We start from the raw sequence: 13,727 nt of genomic DNA, 5'->3' as shown, positions 1-13,727 counted from the left end.
GAAGGGGTAGCATGGGTCACGTAAGACAAAGTAACAAATTTAAGAAGCCATGTTTCTCATTTCTGCATGCCAGCATAATTTCACAAGCCCCTGATTCTGTGACAACGTACAGCTCTCCAGAAAGATGCTTTAAAGACAAAACCCTCACGTCTCTCACCTGAGTCACTATATTCTTTAAAAGATAAATGGCCCCACACCAGGCACAGTGGCTCACACCTGTAATCCCAGCACTTTGGGAGGCCAAGGTGGATGGATTGATTGAGTCTCAGGAGTCTGAGACCAGCCTGGGCAACATGGTGAAACCTCATCTCTACAAAAAATATATAAATTAGCCAGGTGCAGTGGCATGTGTGCCTGTCGTCCCAGCTATTCAACAGGCTGAGGTGGAAGGGTCGCTTGGGCCGGGGAGGTTGAGGCTGCAGTGAGCCATGATCACACCACTGCACTGCACTCCAGCCTGGGCGACAGAGTGAGACCTTGTCTTAAGGAAAAAAAAAAAGACAAACGATCCTAGTCCTTGCCTTTTCCTACACATAAGGTAATGATGTCTAACGGGGTTAGTGATGATGCCTCTGTAATCTATCACCAGATGGACTCCTGCACCCAAATTTCAATGTGATTTTGCACTACCGAACCTCCACCAGCTGCATATCAGCAGTGGGCTCAAATGCCGTGCCGGAGTTGTCTGACAAACCCTCTCTGGAGGGCTGCTTGAGGGCCGTAGGCCTCTGTCTATAGTCATCAGCAAGACTTCTGTATAAAACTAATTTTAATGCTTTAAAAGCTTGATTTTTGTCTTTAGTCAACGGTCACCCGCTTCTTTGTGTGCTGAGGAGAGAGAGACAGAGAGAGAGAGAGAGGAAATAACTCTCCCAGTGTTCCCTGAAGAGCCAGAGCCCTGTTGGGGTGAGATCTCTGAACAAAACTGTCTTTTTCAGGGAATGAGGAAAGAGCAAATGGAGGTGGGGGGCTCACCCACACCTGCCGCTTCACTGATGACAGAGCTACGTCCCCAGCCCAGATGCCCCCTGAGCTCCCGACCTGTGTAACTGATGACCTGCTGGAGACCTCCACTGCGACAATCCTAACAACAGTCCCAATAGCTGGTGCACACGCACTGACGTGGGCCAGGCACTGTTCCAAGTGCTCTCTGCAGCTCCTCTCATCCACACAAGAGCCCCACTATCACCCCCATTTACAGATGGGGAAGATGAGGCTCCGAGGGTGGCATAACCTGCCCAGGTCACTTGCCAGAGCCAACTCACGGTGATGCCGGGACCTGAGCCTGCCACCCGGCGCCAGGCCTCTGCTATGCACCCTGTCTTGTCCCCGCCAGGTGCCTCAAATGCTCCGCCTTCCCTCACACCTGCTTGGAGCCCTTCCCCTCCTCGTCTAACTTCAACACAGTGAGGTCTCACCGCAGGCCTCCCTGCTGTAGAAAGCCTTCCTAACCGCACACCAGGCTCGACGCTCATCTCTGGCTGGCATGTGACTCTGCCTCCTGCACTGGGCGTGGTAACTGTCTGGCTCCTCGTCTGTTCCCTGCATGAACCTCGAGTTCCTTGAGGGCAGGAAACCAGCCCAGGACCTGCCCACAGGGCCACCTGGTAAGGAACAGGTCAGGGAAAGCCCAGCCCAGGTCCTGGTGGTCCTGGCACGTCCCCTCTGCCTAGCCATCCAGGCTCGCATCCTGGCAGCCCCTCCCCCACTCCACCTCCCAGCTGGGTCTGCTCCTCACACTCAGCAAGGCTCTCCTCAGCTCCGTTCATCAGCCTCCTTCCTGCTCTACTCTTTTATTAAGATTCTAATTAAATAATTCTAATTAAATGTAATGAGCTGATTCCACAAATTTATTGCAATAAAGCAGCGTTCAGGACATGCTTCCTCCCGATCTTTCTCAGGAGGTGAATGCGGGGATGGCACAGGGTCTCTGCTGCCTGGGGTGACTAAGTGGGGCTAGGACCGACTGCCACGCTCGCAGGAACATCGCCATGGAGAGCCGCCCCAGGCTCCCTGCACCGGGCAGAAGCTCCTCTGCTCTTAGAGACAGCAGGTACAGGCCTGAACCCCACCGCTGGCTCCTCCTTGGGTCTGTGTCTCAGGCCACTCCTAGTGCCTCTGCCTGATGGCACCACGCTGCCACCTCCACATCAGGAGGGGCAGCCTCCTTCTGTGTGACCTTAGCCAAGTCCCACCCCAAATCTGGGCCCCATCTCAGTTTCCACTGAAGGGCAGGCCGGATGGGGTGGGAGAGAGCCTCTGTGAAAGATAAAGTGGATGGTGTGTTGGGTTAGGATTGGCCTTGAATCTTGGCCCCGTTCCTTTCTGGCTGTGTGGCCTGTGGCAAGTTGCTTCATCTCTCTGAGCCTCAGTAGTAACAGCCACCACTGGCCGGGCACCCAAAGCCAGGCGCTCTGCTTTCCTTTCACCGTCTCATACTGCTACTTTTGTTTTTATTTTGTTTTATTTTGTTTTTTGTTTTTTTGAGATGGAGTTTCACTCTTGTTGACCAGGCTAGAGCGCAGTGGCACGGTCTCGGCTCACTGCAACCTCTGCCTTCTGGTTTCAAGTGATTCTCCTGCCCCAGCCTCCCCAGTAGCTGCGATTACAGGCATGTGCCACCACACCCGGCTTATTTTGTATTTTTAGTAGAAATGGGGTTTCTCCATGTTGGTTAGGCTGGTCTTGAACTCCCGACCTCAAGCGATCCACCTGCTTTCACCTCCCAAAGTGCTGGAATTACAGGCGTGAGCCACCACGTCTGGCCTACTTTTGTTTTTTTTGAGGAGTCTCACTCTGTTGCCCAGGCTGGAGTGCAGTGGCACGATCTTGGCTCACTGCAACCTCTGCCTCCCGAATTCAAGTGATCTTCCTGCTTCGGCCTCCCGAGTAGCTGGGATTACAGGCACATGCCACCATGCCCGGCTAATTTTTTTTTTTTTTTTAATAGAGATGGGGTTTCACCATGTTGGCCAGGCTGGTCTCAAACTCCTGACCTCAACTGATCCGCTCACCTTGGCCTCCCGAAGTGCTGGGATTACAGGCGTGAGCCACCACACCCAGCCTCATGCTGCTGCTTTTGAAGTCAGACTGCCTGGTTCAAATCCTGGCTCTACTAGTTCCCAGCTGAGTGACCATGGGCAAGTCATGCCATCTCTCTGGGCCTCAGTTTCCTCTTCTGCAAAATGGGGCCTGTACCCATTCCAGAGAGTTATTGTGAGAAGCCCATGGGGTCGTTTGTGTAAAGCTCTTAGCCCAGGGCTGGGCACATACTCAGTGCTCATTTAATCTCCACAGTAGGCCCAAGACGCCGGTCCCGCCTCTACAGATAAGGAAACGGAGCAGCCATTTGACTAAGGTTTTTGAACTAGGAAATGACAAAGTGAGATTTTTGTTTGTTTGTTTGTTTGTTTTTGTAAGACAGGGTCTCATTCTGTGGCCGAGGCTGGAGTACAGTGGTGCAATCACAGCTCACTACAGCCTTGACTTTCCAGGCTCAAGTGATCTTCCCACCTCAGTCTCCTGAGTAGCTGGGACTACAGATGCATGCCACCATGCACAGCTGGTTTTTTTTTTTTTTTTTTTTTTAGTAGAGACAGGGTTTCTCCAGGTTGCTCATGCTGGTCTCAAATTTCCGGACTCTAGTGATTCACCTGCCTCAGCCTTCCAAAGTGCTTGGATTACAGGCATGAGCCCCTATGCCTGGGCAAAAGTGGGATTTGAACCCAGGTCCTTCTGACTTCTACCTCCATGCTCTTTCCACAGTGCTGGAGTCCTGGCTTTCCCAGGAGGCCCCCAGGTTTAGAGATCTGACTCTTCCTTGGGGCTGGCAAGGCCCAAACATCATACAGTCTTCCCACCCGGGTAGTGAGAGCCCTGGTCCAGCCTTGCGGCCCGAAGAAAGGGTCTCTGAGTTTAAAGCACTGCATTTGGGGACCGGGACGGTGAGTCGTCCCTACCTCAGCTGTTAGAGACCGCTGGGGAGGAGACCCTGAACCCAAGTATCCAAGAAGCACAGGCCAGTCCTACTGGGTCCTGGGTGCTGTCTGTTTCCATTCGTTCCAAGAACTACAGCTGAGCTGTGGAATGTCAAGTGAGCATGAAACAGACAATGACAGGCCAAAGTCAAAGACACCCCTCACTGCTGCCCACTACGGACAAGCAGGAACCCACAGACGCACAAGGAAACACACAGGCCTCTCACCCTTGACTCATGTACAGACCTTCAGGTCTACACGCTCCTGGCACATACAGGCCCACGGAGCCAACACAGGCTCACTCATGCACACCCAGAGAAATGATATAGCATGCCCAGAACACTCGCTGCATCAGCCTCTTGCTCGGCTGGCAGGGACCAAGAGACACCAGCCCTCCACATCACACGGGGATACACCAATCTCTGACTCAGGCTACTGCCAGAGGCCCACAGACACCCACAGGGCTCCCGACACACAGATTTGGGACCACCACCAAACCCAGGCAGCTGGCCATGCACACATCCTTTTCTTCAACAAATCTGGAAGCCCCCCGCTCAGACAACAGAGCAGGAGGACATGGGGTTGCCTTTTCAACCTTCCATCTGCCCGCTTGCAAGCCCGGAGGTTGCTCTCTCTTGGGCTTGACCCTGGATGACAGCCTCAGTATCCTAGAGCCTCAGTCTCTGCATTGCCCCTGGCTGTGCAGCCTTCGTGTCCTCGAGACCCCACACTGAGCCCTGCACAGCAGGTCTGAGCCTTGCCACCGCCCTGTGGTCCAGGCCTGCACCTGCTCTGAGCCCATTTCCCAGTCCACCTCCTTCCTCCCTCCTCTCCAGCCTCAGACTTCCTCCTGCCCTTGGCACATTCCAAACTGCAATCCTGGGGCTTTGCGCTTGCTCTTTGCCCTCTCAGGTGCCCTTTCTCTGGGGCCTCCCTACCTCCTCCAGCACTCTGTCCAACTCTGACCACCCCAGGTGCAGCAGCGCTGCCGGCCAGGCCACTCCCCTTCCCCCCACCGCCCTTTTTCCTTTGGAGTGCTTACACCACACCTATTTTTACGTATTTACAAATATTTATACATATTTGGGGGAGCGTCAGCTCCATGAGGATGGGGATTTCTGCTGTTTTGTTTGCTGCCATGTTCCAGACGCCTGGCATGCATCCTGGCATGTGGTGGGCACTCAATCACTGGGCATTGGATGAATGAGCCTGGCTCAGGGAGAGGCAGGAGCAGGCCCCGCCTGTGTGAAATAGCCCCGGGGTGCTGTCCTAGCTTTTCACATCTCGATCAGGTCAGTTCATGGCCTCACATGGCTGTCCTAAGGATTACGTAACGTGTGCAAAGCCTCGGCATAGCTCCCGACATAGGTGTGGCAGCCAGGTTTTCTCCGGGCTAACCTCCCTCAGCTCCTTTTACCCTCCCTGCCCCCCAACAGTGTTGGGGTGGTGGGGTGCCAGGGGGTCTGCTGCATCTCAGCACCATTTCCCTTCCCTTCCCTGTGCCCTCCTGAGCCGCAAGGGCTGATGCCTGCAAACCACCTCTTCCCAACTTCCCTTGCCAGCAGCTTCCGGCCAGCTCTGCCCCGGGATGCAGCCACCGGGACCTACAGGAGCAGCAGCCGCCAGATCCCTGAGCCCCTGCAGGGACCACCTGCACCCTCGCCCTGCCAGGGCTTTTGTGATCTGGTGCTCTTCACTAAATCCCTTCCTACTGGAAACAGCTAGACTGCAACGCTTTCCTCACTAGACAGTAGAGTTTGTTGAGTTTTTCCTGAGGGCATAATGTGGTGGTCTCAACGTGGCGGGGCCTGAGTGTGCACCTGGGTGCATCAGGGGAGCTGGTAAGACACAACTTGTCTCCTCCCCACCTTGGCTACCCTGGGTGGGCCTTACCCCTGGGGAGAAACTGGTCTTCCCCACCCCCATCTGACCTCCCCCCGCCCCGCAAAGCAGCCCCTGTTTGGACTGCACCTTTATCCTATTTAACAGGTGAGGAGACTGAGATACAGGCTACTAAGTTGTTTCTGCGGCTAAAAATCGGCCGTCTGGGATTGAAAGCCAGTCCTGACGGCTGTGGCCCCAGAGGCTGCACTCGGAACTGCAGCTCCATGCCCCCTCTTCTAGGTGTCTGGCCAGCAGCCTGAGCTGCAGATGAGACTTCAGCGTCCTTGAGGGGGACAGTGGAGAGACGGATGATGAGCTGGTGCTCATTACATGCTCAAGAATCCACCAAGGTCCTTTCTCCAGCCTCTTCTTACCAACATCACATCCAGTTCCCTGCAAGCACATGGGCCCCTTCTAGCAAGAGTGGGAGGGACTTCTCTCTCCTTTACTCCAGGTTGATGGAGGACTGGGCATGGAGTCGGTGGAAAATACAGCTCAGATCCCAGCTCTCTTAACTGCCTGTGAGTCCCGGGCAAGTCCTGTGCCCTCTGCAGGTCTCAACTCCCCATTATAAGCTCAGTGGGTGGGCTGGGGAACCATCAGGGGCTCTCCCAGCATTAACATTCTAGAATCTCACTTTGAAGACAGCATGAAAACCAAGATCTTGGTTGGGGCAGAGGGTGGACCACACAACATTTTACCAAACCAGGCTGGGCATGCCATGCCATCGGCTGTGTGTGACGGAGACCCAGAGTGCCTAAGCCCAGTGCACCCAGTGCACACTGGGGAGCTGTCACAGGAAGGGTCTGACAGCCGGCAAAGTGGACTCCCAGGCTGCAGGGACTCCAGCGCTGCCTGCTGAGCCAGGGCTGCCCTTTCTCACAGCTCTCATGGGAGCCAGGCTGTTCTCCCCTCCTGATGAACTGACTCACTGATGGCCACTCTGTGCCAGGTGCTAGGCTGGGCACTGAGGCCATGGGGCAAATCAGACAGGCATGTCCTCAGGGAGCTCCCAGGCTAGCACATGCAGTCGCCAACCATTCTACCCTTCCTTTGATGCCCAGCAGGAATATGCCCCTCTTCTAAGAGCCTGACCTGGCTTCCCCAGCTGCCATACCTCAGCTCTGACTTCCAATGTCCCGCTGGCCTACTGCAAGCCCAGCTCATGCCCGGGGACTTTCCAGGGCACCATGAACTATAACCCCTGGACTGCGAGGGGGTCAAGAGCAGCTGTGCCTCAGTCACCCTGAGACAGGCCGTGCTGGGGCTCAGCAGGTGCAGTCAGAATTGCTGTCTGGCAACAAGGATTCATGACACAGCCCACATCTGTCCTGGCCACAAACGCACCATCTGATCCAGTACCTCTGTGCTGGACACTTGGCTAAGGTTACTCTGGGCTGGGTTCAGAAGTTCCTAAGCAAGCAAGGTCATCCTGATTTGCCAATGTCCCAAGTGACCTGCAGAGGCAGGGCCACCCAGCACAGTGGGGAACACACTGGCTCTGAGTCCCAGGCCTGCCTCCTAATAGCTGTGTGAGGCTGGCTGATCATGTAACCGCCACAGGCCTTGGTATCATCATCTCTAAAATGGGCTAACAATACGTGCAAGCACAGGGGCCGTGCAGCAGCTTAAACTAGCTGGTACGTGTGGATGCTGCTGGTGTTCAAGATGTGCACCCTCCTTCCTGCCCTTCCGAGGCTGGCATTCACCTCCCAGAGGAAGGCTTCCTTCTCTGAGGGGCACCAATGCTCACTGTGGGCCCCACTGGCAGGCTGAGCAGTGCCACTGGGGACAAAGCAGGGTCTCAATGCAATGAGACATACCCCTGTGGAGTTCTAAACTAGGCATGTCCAGAGAAGTGGCCCCAAAGGGCAGCCACTGGGGAAGAGGTGGGATCTGCTCTGGTGTCTAGCTAGGAAGTCAGCCTCTGCCTGTGGAGACACCCACTGGCCAGCAGCTTCCAGTGTCTTCCGTGGTAGCTGGGGCTGCTGGCGAGGCAGAGCAGGGCACACCAGGTCGGTTGGGGTTTGCCTTGATCTGCACGGAGAGGCACTGTGCAGTGGAAATCCGGAGCGCTGGGGTCAGAGAGCAGGGTTCAAATCCCAGATCCCCGAGTGGATGTGAGACTTTGGTCAACTTGTTGATCCTCCTTCACCCTCAGCTGCCTCATCAGGAAAATGGGACTAGGACCACCTACCTGGTAGCATGTGAGGTTGCAAGGACTAGTATCACCAGTGTTAGGTGCAAAAGACCTAACAGGCCCAAGGGTTACTTTATTTTTATTTTTATTTTGAGAAGGAGTCTCATTCTGTCGCCCAGGCTGGAGTGTAGTGGCCCGATCTCGGCTCACTGCAAGCTCCACCTCCTGGGTTCATGCCATTCTCCTGCCTCAGCCTCCCAAGTAGCTGGGACTACAGGCGCCCGCCACCACGCCTGGCTAATTTTTTGTATTTTTAGTAGAGACGGGGTTTCACCGTGTTAGCCAGGATGGTCTCGATCTCCTGACCTCGTGATCCGCCTGCCTCGGCCTCCCAAAGTGCTGGGATTACAGGTGTGAGCCACTGCGCCCGGCCGGGTTACTTCTTAATATACAAACGGGCACCTCCTCTGATGAGCACCTGGGAATGGCCGGAGGAAGACCAGGCCCCAAGCCAGCCCCCCAGATGTGAATCTGCCCCTATTCCCTAGCCAGGCTTGTTGAAAAGTCCCCAGATGTACATGGGATGGGATCTCTTCCTGGGAGAGCAGACCCCAACATCCACCCAGTGAAGCTGAAAGTCACGTCAAATCTGAAAGGCGACTTTGTTCTCCCTGGCTTCATCCCTTATGCATGAAAGAGCAGACGGCTGGCGCTCAGGATTCATAATCCGAGACATCCGGAGACTAAAGACATTGGCCAAATTTAAACCGAAAGATAAACTTGTTGGGTGTCTTTTCAGATTATGAGGGAAAGAAGAAAGGGGAGGATTTCTTAGTCATCCATGAACCACTGAGAATTCACAGGGAGTCAGCCTGATGCTGATATGAGGGCTCTGCCTCTGGGTTCTGGACGCTTAAAATACCAGTTTCAAAGGGATAAAGAGATACATGTCCAAGTGGACCCCCACAAGCCACAGCTGAGGGGCAGAGGCCTGGGGAATCTCCGGAGAGTGGCTGAAAGAACCTGAAGAGAGTGGCCTTTCTGTGAGGGTCACCGCACAGGTCAACAGGTGGTCTCGGGCAGCATATGGCCAGACTGGGCTCCTGGGAAGCCAGGACATGGCGGGGTAAGGGCCACACAGGTTGGCGGCTCAGCTGTGGCCCCGCCCAGCACTTGAAGCACAGCTGCCTTCCTCTCCCAGCCCAGTGTCCTCAGCAGTAACGGGAGCTAATGCCATCTGCCATCTGCGCTCAGCACAACCGTTGCAATATGGTGCAGAGCTCAGCACAACACCCGGCACATAGTAAGAGCTCAGTTAACACTGGTTGCTAACTATTTTACTTTACCATTTTTAGACATATTGAGTTCCAGTTGCCTTTGGTTCTGAGATAACCTGAATGCACAAGTGTTCTACCAACAATGTGATGATGGTCACCACTGAGTCACACAAAACCCAGGGTGGTAAAAAGCGGGGAGGTCATTGCACCATTTTCACAGACGGGAAAATCAAGGCTCAAGAGGTGACTGATCAAGTGTCACAGCCTCCAAGTGGCAGAGCTAGGGCTAGACCCTGAGTCTCTCAAGACACTGAAATACTTCCCACCATCCCCCAACACACCCAAACCACACATCCTGAGTTCATCTGGGCCACGCCTGGACCCCTGTCCCCAGTACTGAGACCCAGGCCCAGTCCACGTTCAGCCCGGAGCAAGTCTGTGGAATGATAAAGTGTTGCGGATCCAAAAAGTGATGGAAATAATGGACATCCTCTCTGTGGAAAACGCCCACGTGGACACGTACACAACCTCATGCACACTGCAGGGGACTCACAGCCTGGCCACAGTCCCCCGCCGGGGCTCTCAGACGCTTCAGCCGATGCACCAGATCCCTGGTGTAGCCTCCATGAGTCATCCAGAGGTGACCTCATCACACACACACCCAGCTGCTGGGTGAAAAGGGGGCCCCACTGGGCCTTCAACCCCAGGAACCTAAGACCATCACCCCCACTCAGTGCTGCCCCTGGGCACGCGGCCCCACCCAGCCTGTGGTCACTGCTGCTGCCATCCCCAAAGGGCAGGAGCCGCCGGACGCTGCCGCCAGTCTACTCCACCTGATGAGCGTTGCTTGAGTTTCAAAACGAGAACATTTATTATTTGTTTTTTCCTCATTAAAGTTTCACAAATAAAGCACAGCAAGACTTGTCTGCAGACACACAGGAGGCACACGGACAGCCCGTCAACCAGAGATGGAGACGAAGGCCAGCGTGGCTCTCACAGGGCAGCGCTTCTCAGAACCCCTGGCCCCCCTCGTGCCAAGGCTGGCCTGTGTCAGGCCTCGCCCACGCCGCCTTATGACAAATAGAGGCCGGTGCCAAGGAGGTGGCTACAGAGCAGGGGCAAGGAAGTTATCCTCATGTTCTGATAATGACCCTGCAAATCCCACCCCACCCTCAGGCACCTCCGTCTAAGGTGTCCGGTTACTCCAGGTAAGGAGGTTCCCAGGAGGGCCGTGTTTTCCCTAGGGCTGATGAAACTTGCTCCGACAAGCCAGGCCACTGGGAGGCACCTCAGGATGGAAAAGATGCTGGAGGCTTTGCTGGCTTTCAGGATGCCGGGAGCCCCACGGGGGCAAAAGGGGAGGAAGGAAAGCGATTCTAAAGACAGATTGCTGCTGGTCTGTCCCGACCCAGGGTCACAGTGTCAGCAAAGAGAACAGCATGATTCTGACAGGGTTGGATTTTGTTTCACCCTCGGAATGAGCAGACTTCAAACACTTGCATTTTCACGGAAATCAACAAGAGAGACAGCTAGCAGGACACGAGGCTCCTGCCAGTTCTGTGTGGAAAGGCACCAGATGGTTTGTTATGAAACACATTTTGGTCAGAAAATAGCTGGGGTTTTTTGGTTCCTGGGAGGACAACAAAGCTAGAAGAAAAGGAGGTGTGAGTTGCGTGAGGAGGAGGCAGAGAAGAAAGCAGCTTTGGCATCAGACCTGGGTTCTACTCTTCACTCTACCCCTCCACGCTTGAGGCCTGTTTCCTCATCTGTAAAGTGGTCATAGAATATTTCCAAATAAATCTAGGTGTCAGGTTTCACACATCATCCCAGGAAGTATGGGGAGGCGGGGCGCAGACACTCAAACGGACACACAGAAACCAGAGGAAGAGCACAGCCTTGCGTGGAGGGGAGAAGGCAGGCAGGGGCCCGACGGAGGGCGGTCACAGAGATGATCCCCGTGTCAGTCCCTGGGAGCAGGGAGCAGCCAGTTACACTGGTTCCAAGCACAGGTGGAGACCATCCACGGGGACCTTGGGCCCCTTCTCCTGGAGGAAGGGCAGAAGGAAAGCTGGACTCAATGCAGCACCATGGAGGAGCCCTCAGGGTCACACCTGCTGTTAATGCTTTAAAGTGCCAAGCTGTATCGTCTTTGGTCAGGAGCTGCCCCTTAGTCTCTAAGAGCCTGGGGTCCAGGGCTCAAACCCCCGCCTGCTGGGCCCTGAGGAAGCAGAGCAGGAGGACACATTCCCCTTCTGCGGCTGTGGGTGCTCTCCTGTGCTGGGGGGTGGGGGGAAAAATCACTGAAATCCAACAGCTTTCAGGAAGCAGGATGCCCCCAGGGAAATTTGGGTCCTTAGAAAGAGAGAAGGGACTAGAAATGCTTTGGTCACAGTCCTGATACCCACAGCCAGGGCAGAGCTTGCTCCAGGAGAGCAAGCGGGAGCCGATTACAGCACTGCACATGTCACGCAGCAGGAGACGTGCCTGACGCAGACTGGCTTCTGAGCATAAGCCAGAAGTCACTGAATAAATATTCAAGGCATCTTTTGGTTCTCAGAGAAAGAGCAGGGCTTAAAAGAAAAATCTCTCCCCTGCCTGACTGGCTGCAGCTCTGATCTTCAGGCTGACAATGCTGAGGGCTGGGAGAGGTGGCAGGCGGGCCCCAGAACTGGCTCCCCCGCAGCAGGTGGCTTTGGTCCATCACGTGTCAGGGCCGCTTGTGTCCGGCTGGCCCCGGGCCCTCAGAAGCTGAAGAGGTCATCCTGCTCTGTGCCGCTGCTGTCAGGCTTGTCCCAGTCGACAGGCGAGAGGCACTGGGCGTAATGCATGTCCTGGGCTGTCAGGCCAGTGTCCAGGACCTGAGGGTTTGTCCGAGACTGGGCAAGCCTGGAAGGCAGAGCTGTGTGAGCCGAGAGCCTGGGTGAGGGCTGGCGCGCCCCAGGGTCAGACGCGAGGGGGCACCAGTGGGGAACAGCAGGGCACATGGCCCAAGAAGGAAGCCCCCGGTGCAGGGGAGGTGGAGTAACCTCAGATCAAAGCACCTCCCCTTGAGAGTCAAACAGCTCAGAAAAGTCAGGGGCAGCCAGCGGTGCACCCACCCCCGGGAGAGGCCAGAGCACCCACTCTGTGCCCCAGCTCAGTCAGGACATGCCCAGGAAAGAGGAGAAGGGGCTGGTAAAGGGAGCAGCGGGGGTGGGGGTGGGGTGGGGAACAAGCTGTGGGAGGGAACACGGAAGATTCTTTGGCTATAACTGTGTCAACACCGTGCTGTTCGAAAAATAAATTTACAAAGGGAGACAACCTACATGTCCAAAAGAATAGGGGAGAGTCAAGTAAATTATAGCAGCTTCCCTTAAGAGAATGTTAGGCAGTCAATGGAAGAGGTGTTTACGAGGAGCTTTTAACAGCCTGGAGCAATGCTTCTGACACATCGCTGTTAAGTGAAAAATCAGGATCCCAAAATGCAAATACGATGAGCTGATCAATGCAAAATAATGTATATGTATAGGATTAGCATGAATTAAGCCCAAAACTCTGGGCTGTGGGATTACAGGATGGTGTTACTTTCTGTTTAATGCTTTGCTGATTTTCAAAATTGTTAATAAAGGGCACATGATGCTCAAAATAATGTGGAGAAAGCAAACAAAAGATTTTCTTCAGAGGGCAGGTGTCGTCAGCCAGTGAGGCAGGGAAGGTGTCACTGTCGCCCTCGCCCCAGGCTGGACCAAGGGGTTTCCACTAGTCCCTGGCAAGAAGGAGGCAAGGAAGAGGAAGGAGGAGGCAGGAGGGCAAAGACCCTGACTCTGTCCCCACCCGCTGGACCAAAAATCGCTGACTCCAACCCCAAACAAAGCCCCTGATGTGGGAGGGCTGTAGGAGGCTGCTGAGGGTCTCAAGTGAGAAAGGGAGGCCTGACAGACGGGGACCCAGGGCTCGGAACCCTGACCTGCCCAGGCCTCTCCTCAGCCACAGCCTTCTCAGTGGCATGTCCCCAAGCTGCAGGGGGCCACAAGGATGGCCCCTGGGAAAACGGGGAAATGCCACCAAAGGCTATACCAAAACACCTCCTCACTGTGCCTGACCTTCCCTGCTATGGAACGCTTCACGAGCTTCATTAAACACTTTCTCCCTTCCCCTGTTCATAAACACAGACCTGTGGAGGGAGCAAAGCCTGTAAAAAAAAAAAAAAGCCCATTTTTGAAGGCCACGCCTCCTCAAGTCGGAGGAAATCAACTTGAGCTGCAGTGTGTTTCGCTCACCTCAGACTGCGGCAGAGCAGCCACCAGGAATAGTTTTTGACTCAACAGTAAGAACTTTCTAACAGCTCTGGACAACGCTGGAAGGGGTTTCCTCCCCAGTGAGCTCCCTGCCCCTGGAAGCATTTGAGTGGAGGGATGGGACTGTTGCTCTGGAGGGGGTCTGAGTGGCTTGTGTTCTTAATCAGGGGAA

The 13,727-nt window shown here is 54.8% G+C and overlaps 1 protein-coding gene across 16 annotated transcripts in view, besides 6 other annotated features; it reads right to left on the bottom strand.

The window, feature by feature from the left end:
- The window catches only part of LDLRAP1 (low density lipoprotein receptor adaptor protein 1), a 46,795-nt gene that overhangs the window by 11,389 nt on the left and 21,679 nt on the right, over window positions 1-13,727 (bottom strand). For 5 of the 16 annotated variants that reach the window (NM_015627.3, XM_011541209.4, XM_024446315.2 and 2 more), the window contains exon 9: window positions 10,126-12,164. The exons of 6 other annotated variants lie outside the window; for them this stretch is intronic. In NM_015627.3, coding sequence (NP_056442.2) covers window positions 12,020-12,164 — 145 coding nt within the window. In that variant the 3' untranslated portion in view covers window positions 10,126-12,019. Of the gene's footprint in view, window positions 1-10,125; window positions 13,651-13,727 lie in introns of those variants that run through there. 5 more of the 16 variants (XR_946603.4, XR_007058621.1, XM_006710559.5 and 2 more) reach the window with 3 other exon arrangements.
- Window positions 631-1,552: an enhancer, noted in NCBI's record as "H3K27ac-H3K4me1 hESC enhancer chr1:25903951-25904872 (GRCh37/hg19 assembly coordinates)". NCBI's record gives its function as "activates a minimal SCP1, AML or CMV promoter by ChIP-STARR-seq in naive H9 embryonic stem cells {active_cell/tissue: H9 hESC(naive)}" and the evidence as "EXISTENCE:reporter gene assay evidence [ECO:0000049][PMID:30033119]".
- Window positions 1,553-2,474: an enhancer, noted in NCBI's record as "H3K27ac-H3K4me1 hESC enhancer chr1:25903029-25903950 (GRCh37/hg19 assembly coordinates)". NCBI's record gives its function as "activates a minimal SCP1, AML or CMV promoter by ChIP-STARR-seq in naive and primed H9 embryonic stem cells {active_cell/tissue: H9 hESC(naive and primed)}" and the evidence as "EXISTENCE:reporter gene assay evidence [ECO:0000049][PMID:30033119]".
- Window positions 4,168-5,035: an enhancer, noted in NCBI's record as "H3K4me1 hESC enhancer chr1:25900468-25901335 (GRCh37/hg19 assembly coordinates)". NCBI's record gives its function as "activates a minimal SCP1, AML or CMV promoter by ChIP-STARR-seq in naive H9 embryonic stem cells {active_cell/tissue: H9 hESC(naive)}" and the evidence as "EXISTENCE:reporter gene assay evidence [ECO:0000049][PMID:30033119]".
- Window positions 10,049-10,772: an enhancer, noted in NCBI's record as "H3K27ac-H3K4me1 hESC enhancer chr1:25894731-25895454 (GRCh37/hg19 assembly coordinates)". NCBI's record gives its function as "activates a minimal SCP1, AML or CMV promoter by ChIP-STARR-seq in naive H9 embryonic stem cells {active_cell/tissue: H9 hESC(naive)}" and the evidence as "EXISTENCE:reporter gene assay evidence [ECO:0000049][PMID:30033119]".
- Window positions 10,773-11,497: an enhancer, noted in NCBI's record as "H3K27ac-H3K4me1 hESC enhancer chr1:25894006-25894730 (GRCh37/hg19 assembly coordinates)". NCBI's record gives its function as "activates a minimal SCP1, AML or CMV promoter by ChIP-STARR-seq in primed H9 embryonic stem cells {active_cell/tissue: H9 hESC(primed)}" and the evidence as "EXISTENCE:reporter gene assay evidence [ECO:0000049][PMID:30033119]".
- Window positions 11,498-12,221: an enhancer, noted in NCBI's record as "H3K27ac-H3K4me1 hESC enhancer chr1:25893282-25894005 (GRCh37/hg19 assembly coordinates)". NCBI's record gives its function as "activates a minimal SCP1, AML or CMV promoter by ChIP-STARR-seq in primed H9 embryonic stem cells {active_cell/tissue: H9 hESC(primed)}" and the evidence as "EXISTENCE:reporter gene assay evidence [ECO:0000049][PMID:30033119]".

The sequence above is a fragment of the Homo sapiens genome, chromosome 1 (genome assembly GCF_000001405.40).
Source record: "Homo sapiens chromosome 1, GRCh38.p14 Primary Assembly".
Classification (NCBI taxonomy): Eukaryota; Metazoa; Chordata; class Mammalia; order Primates; family Hominidae; genus Homo; species Homo sapiens.
This window is presented reverse-complemented; position numbering and strand designations above follow the sequence as displayed.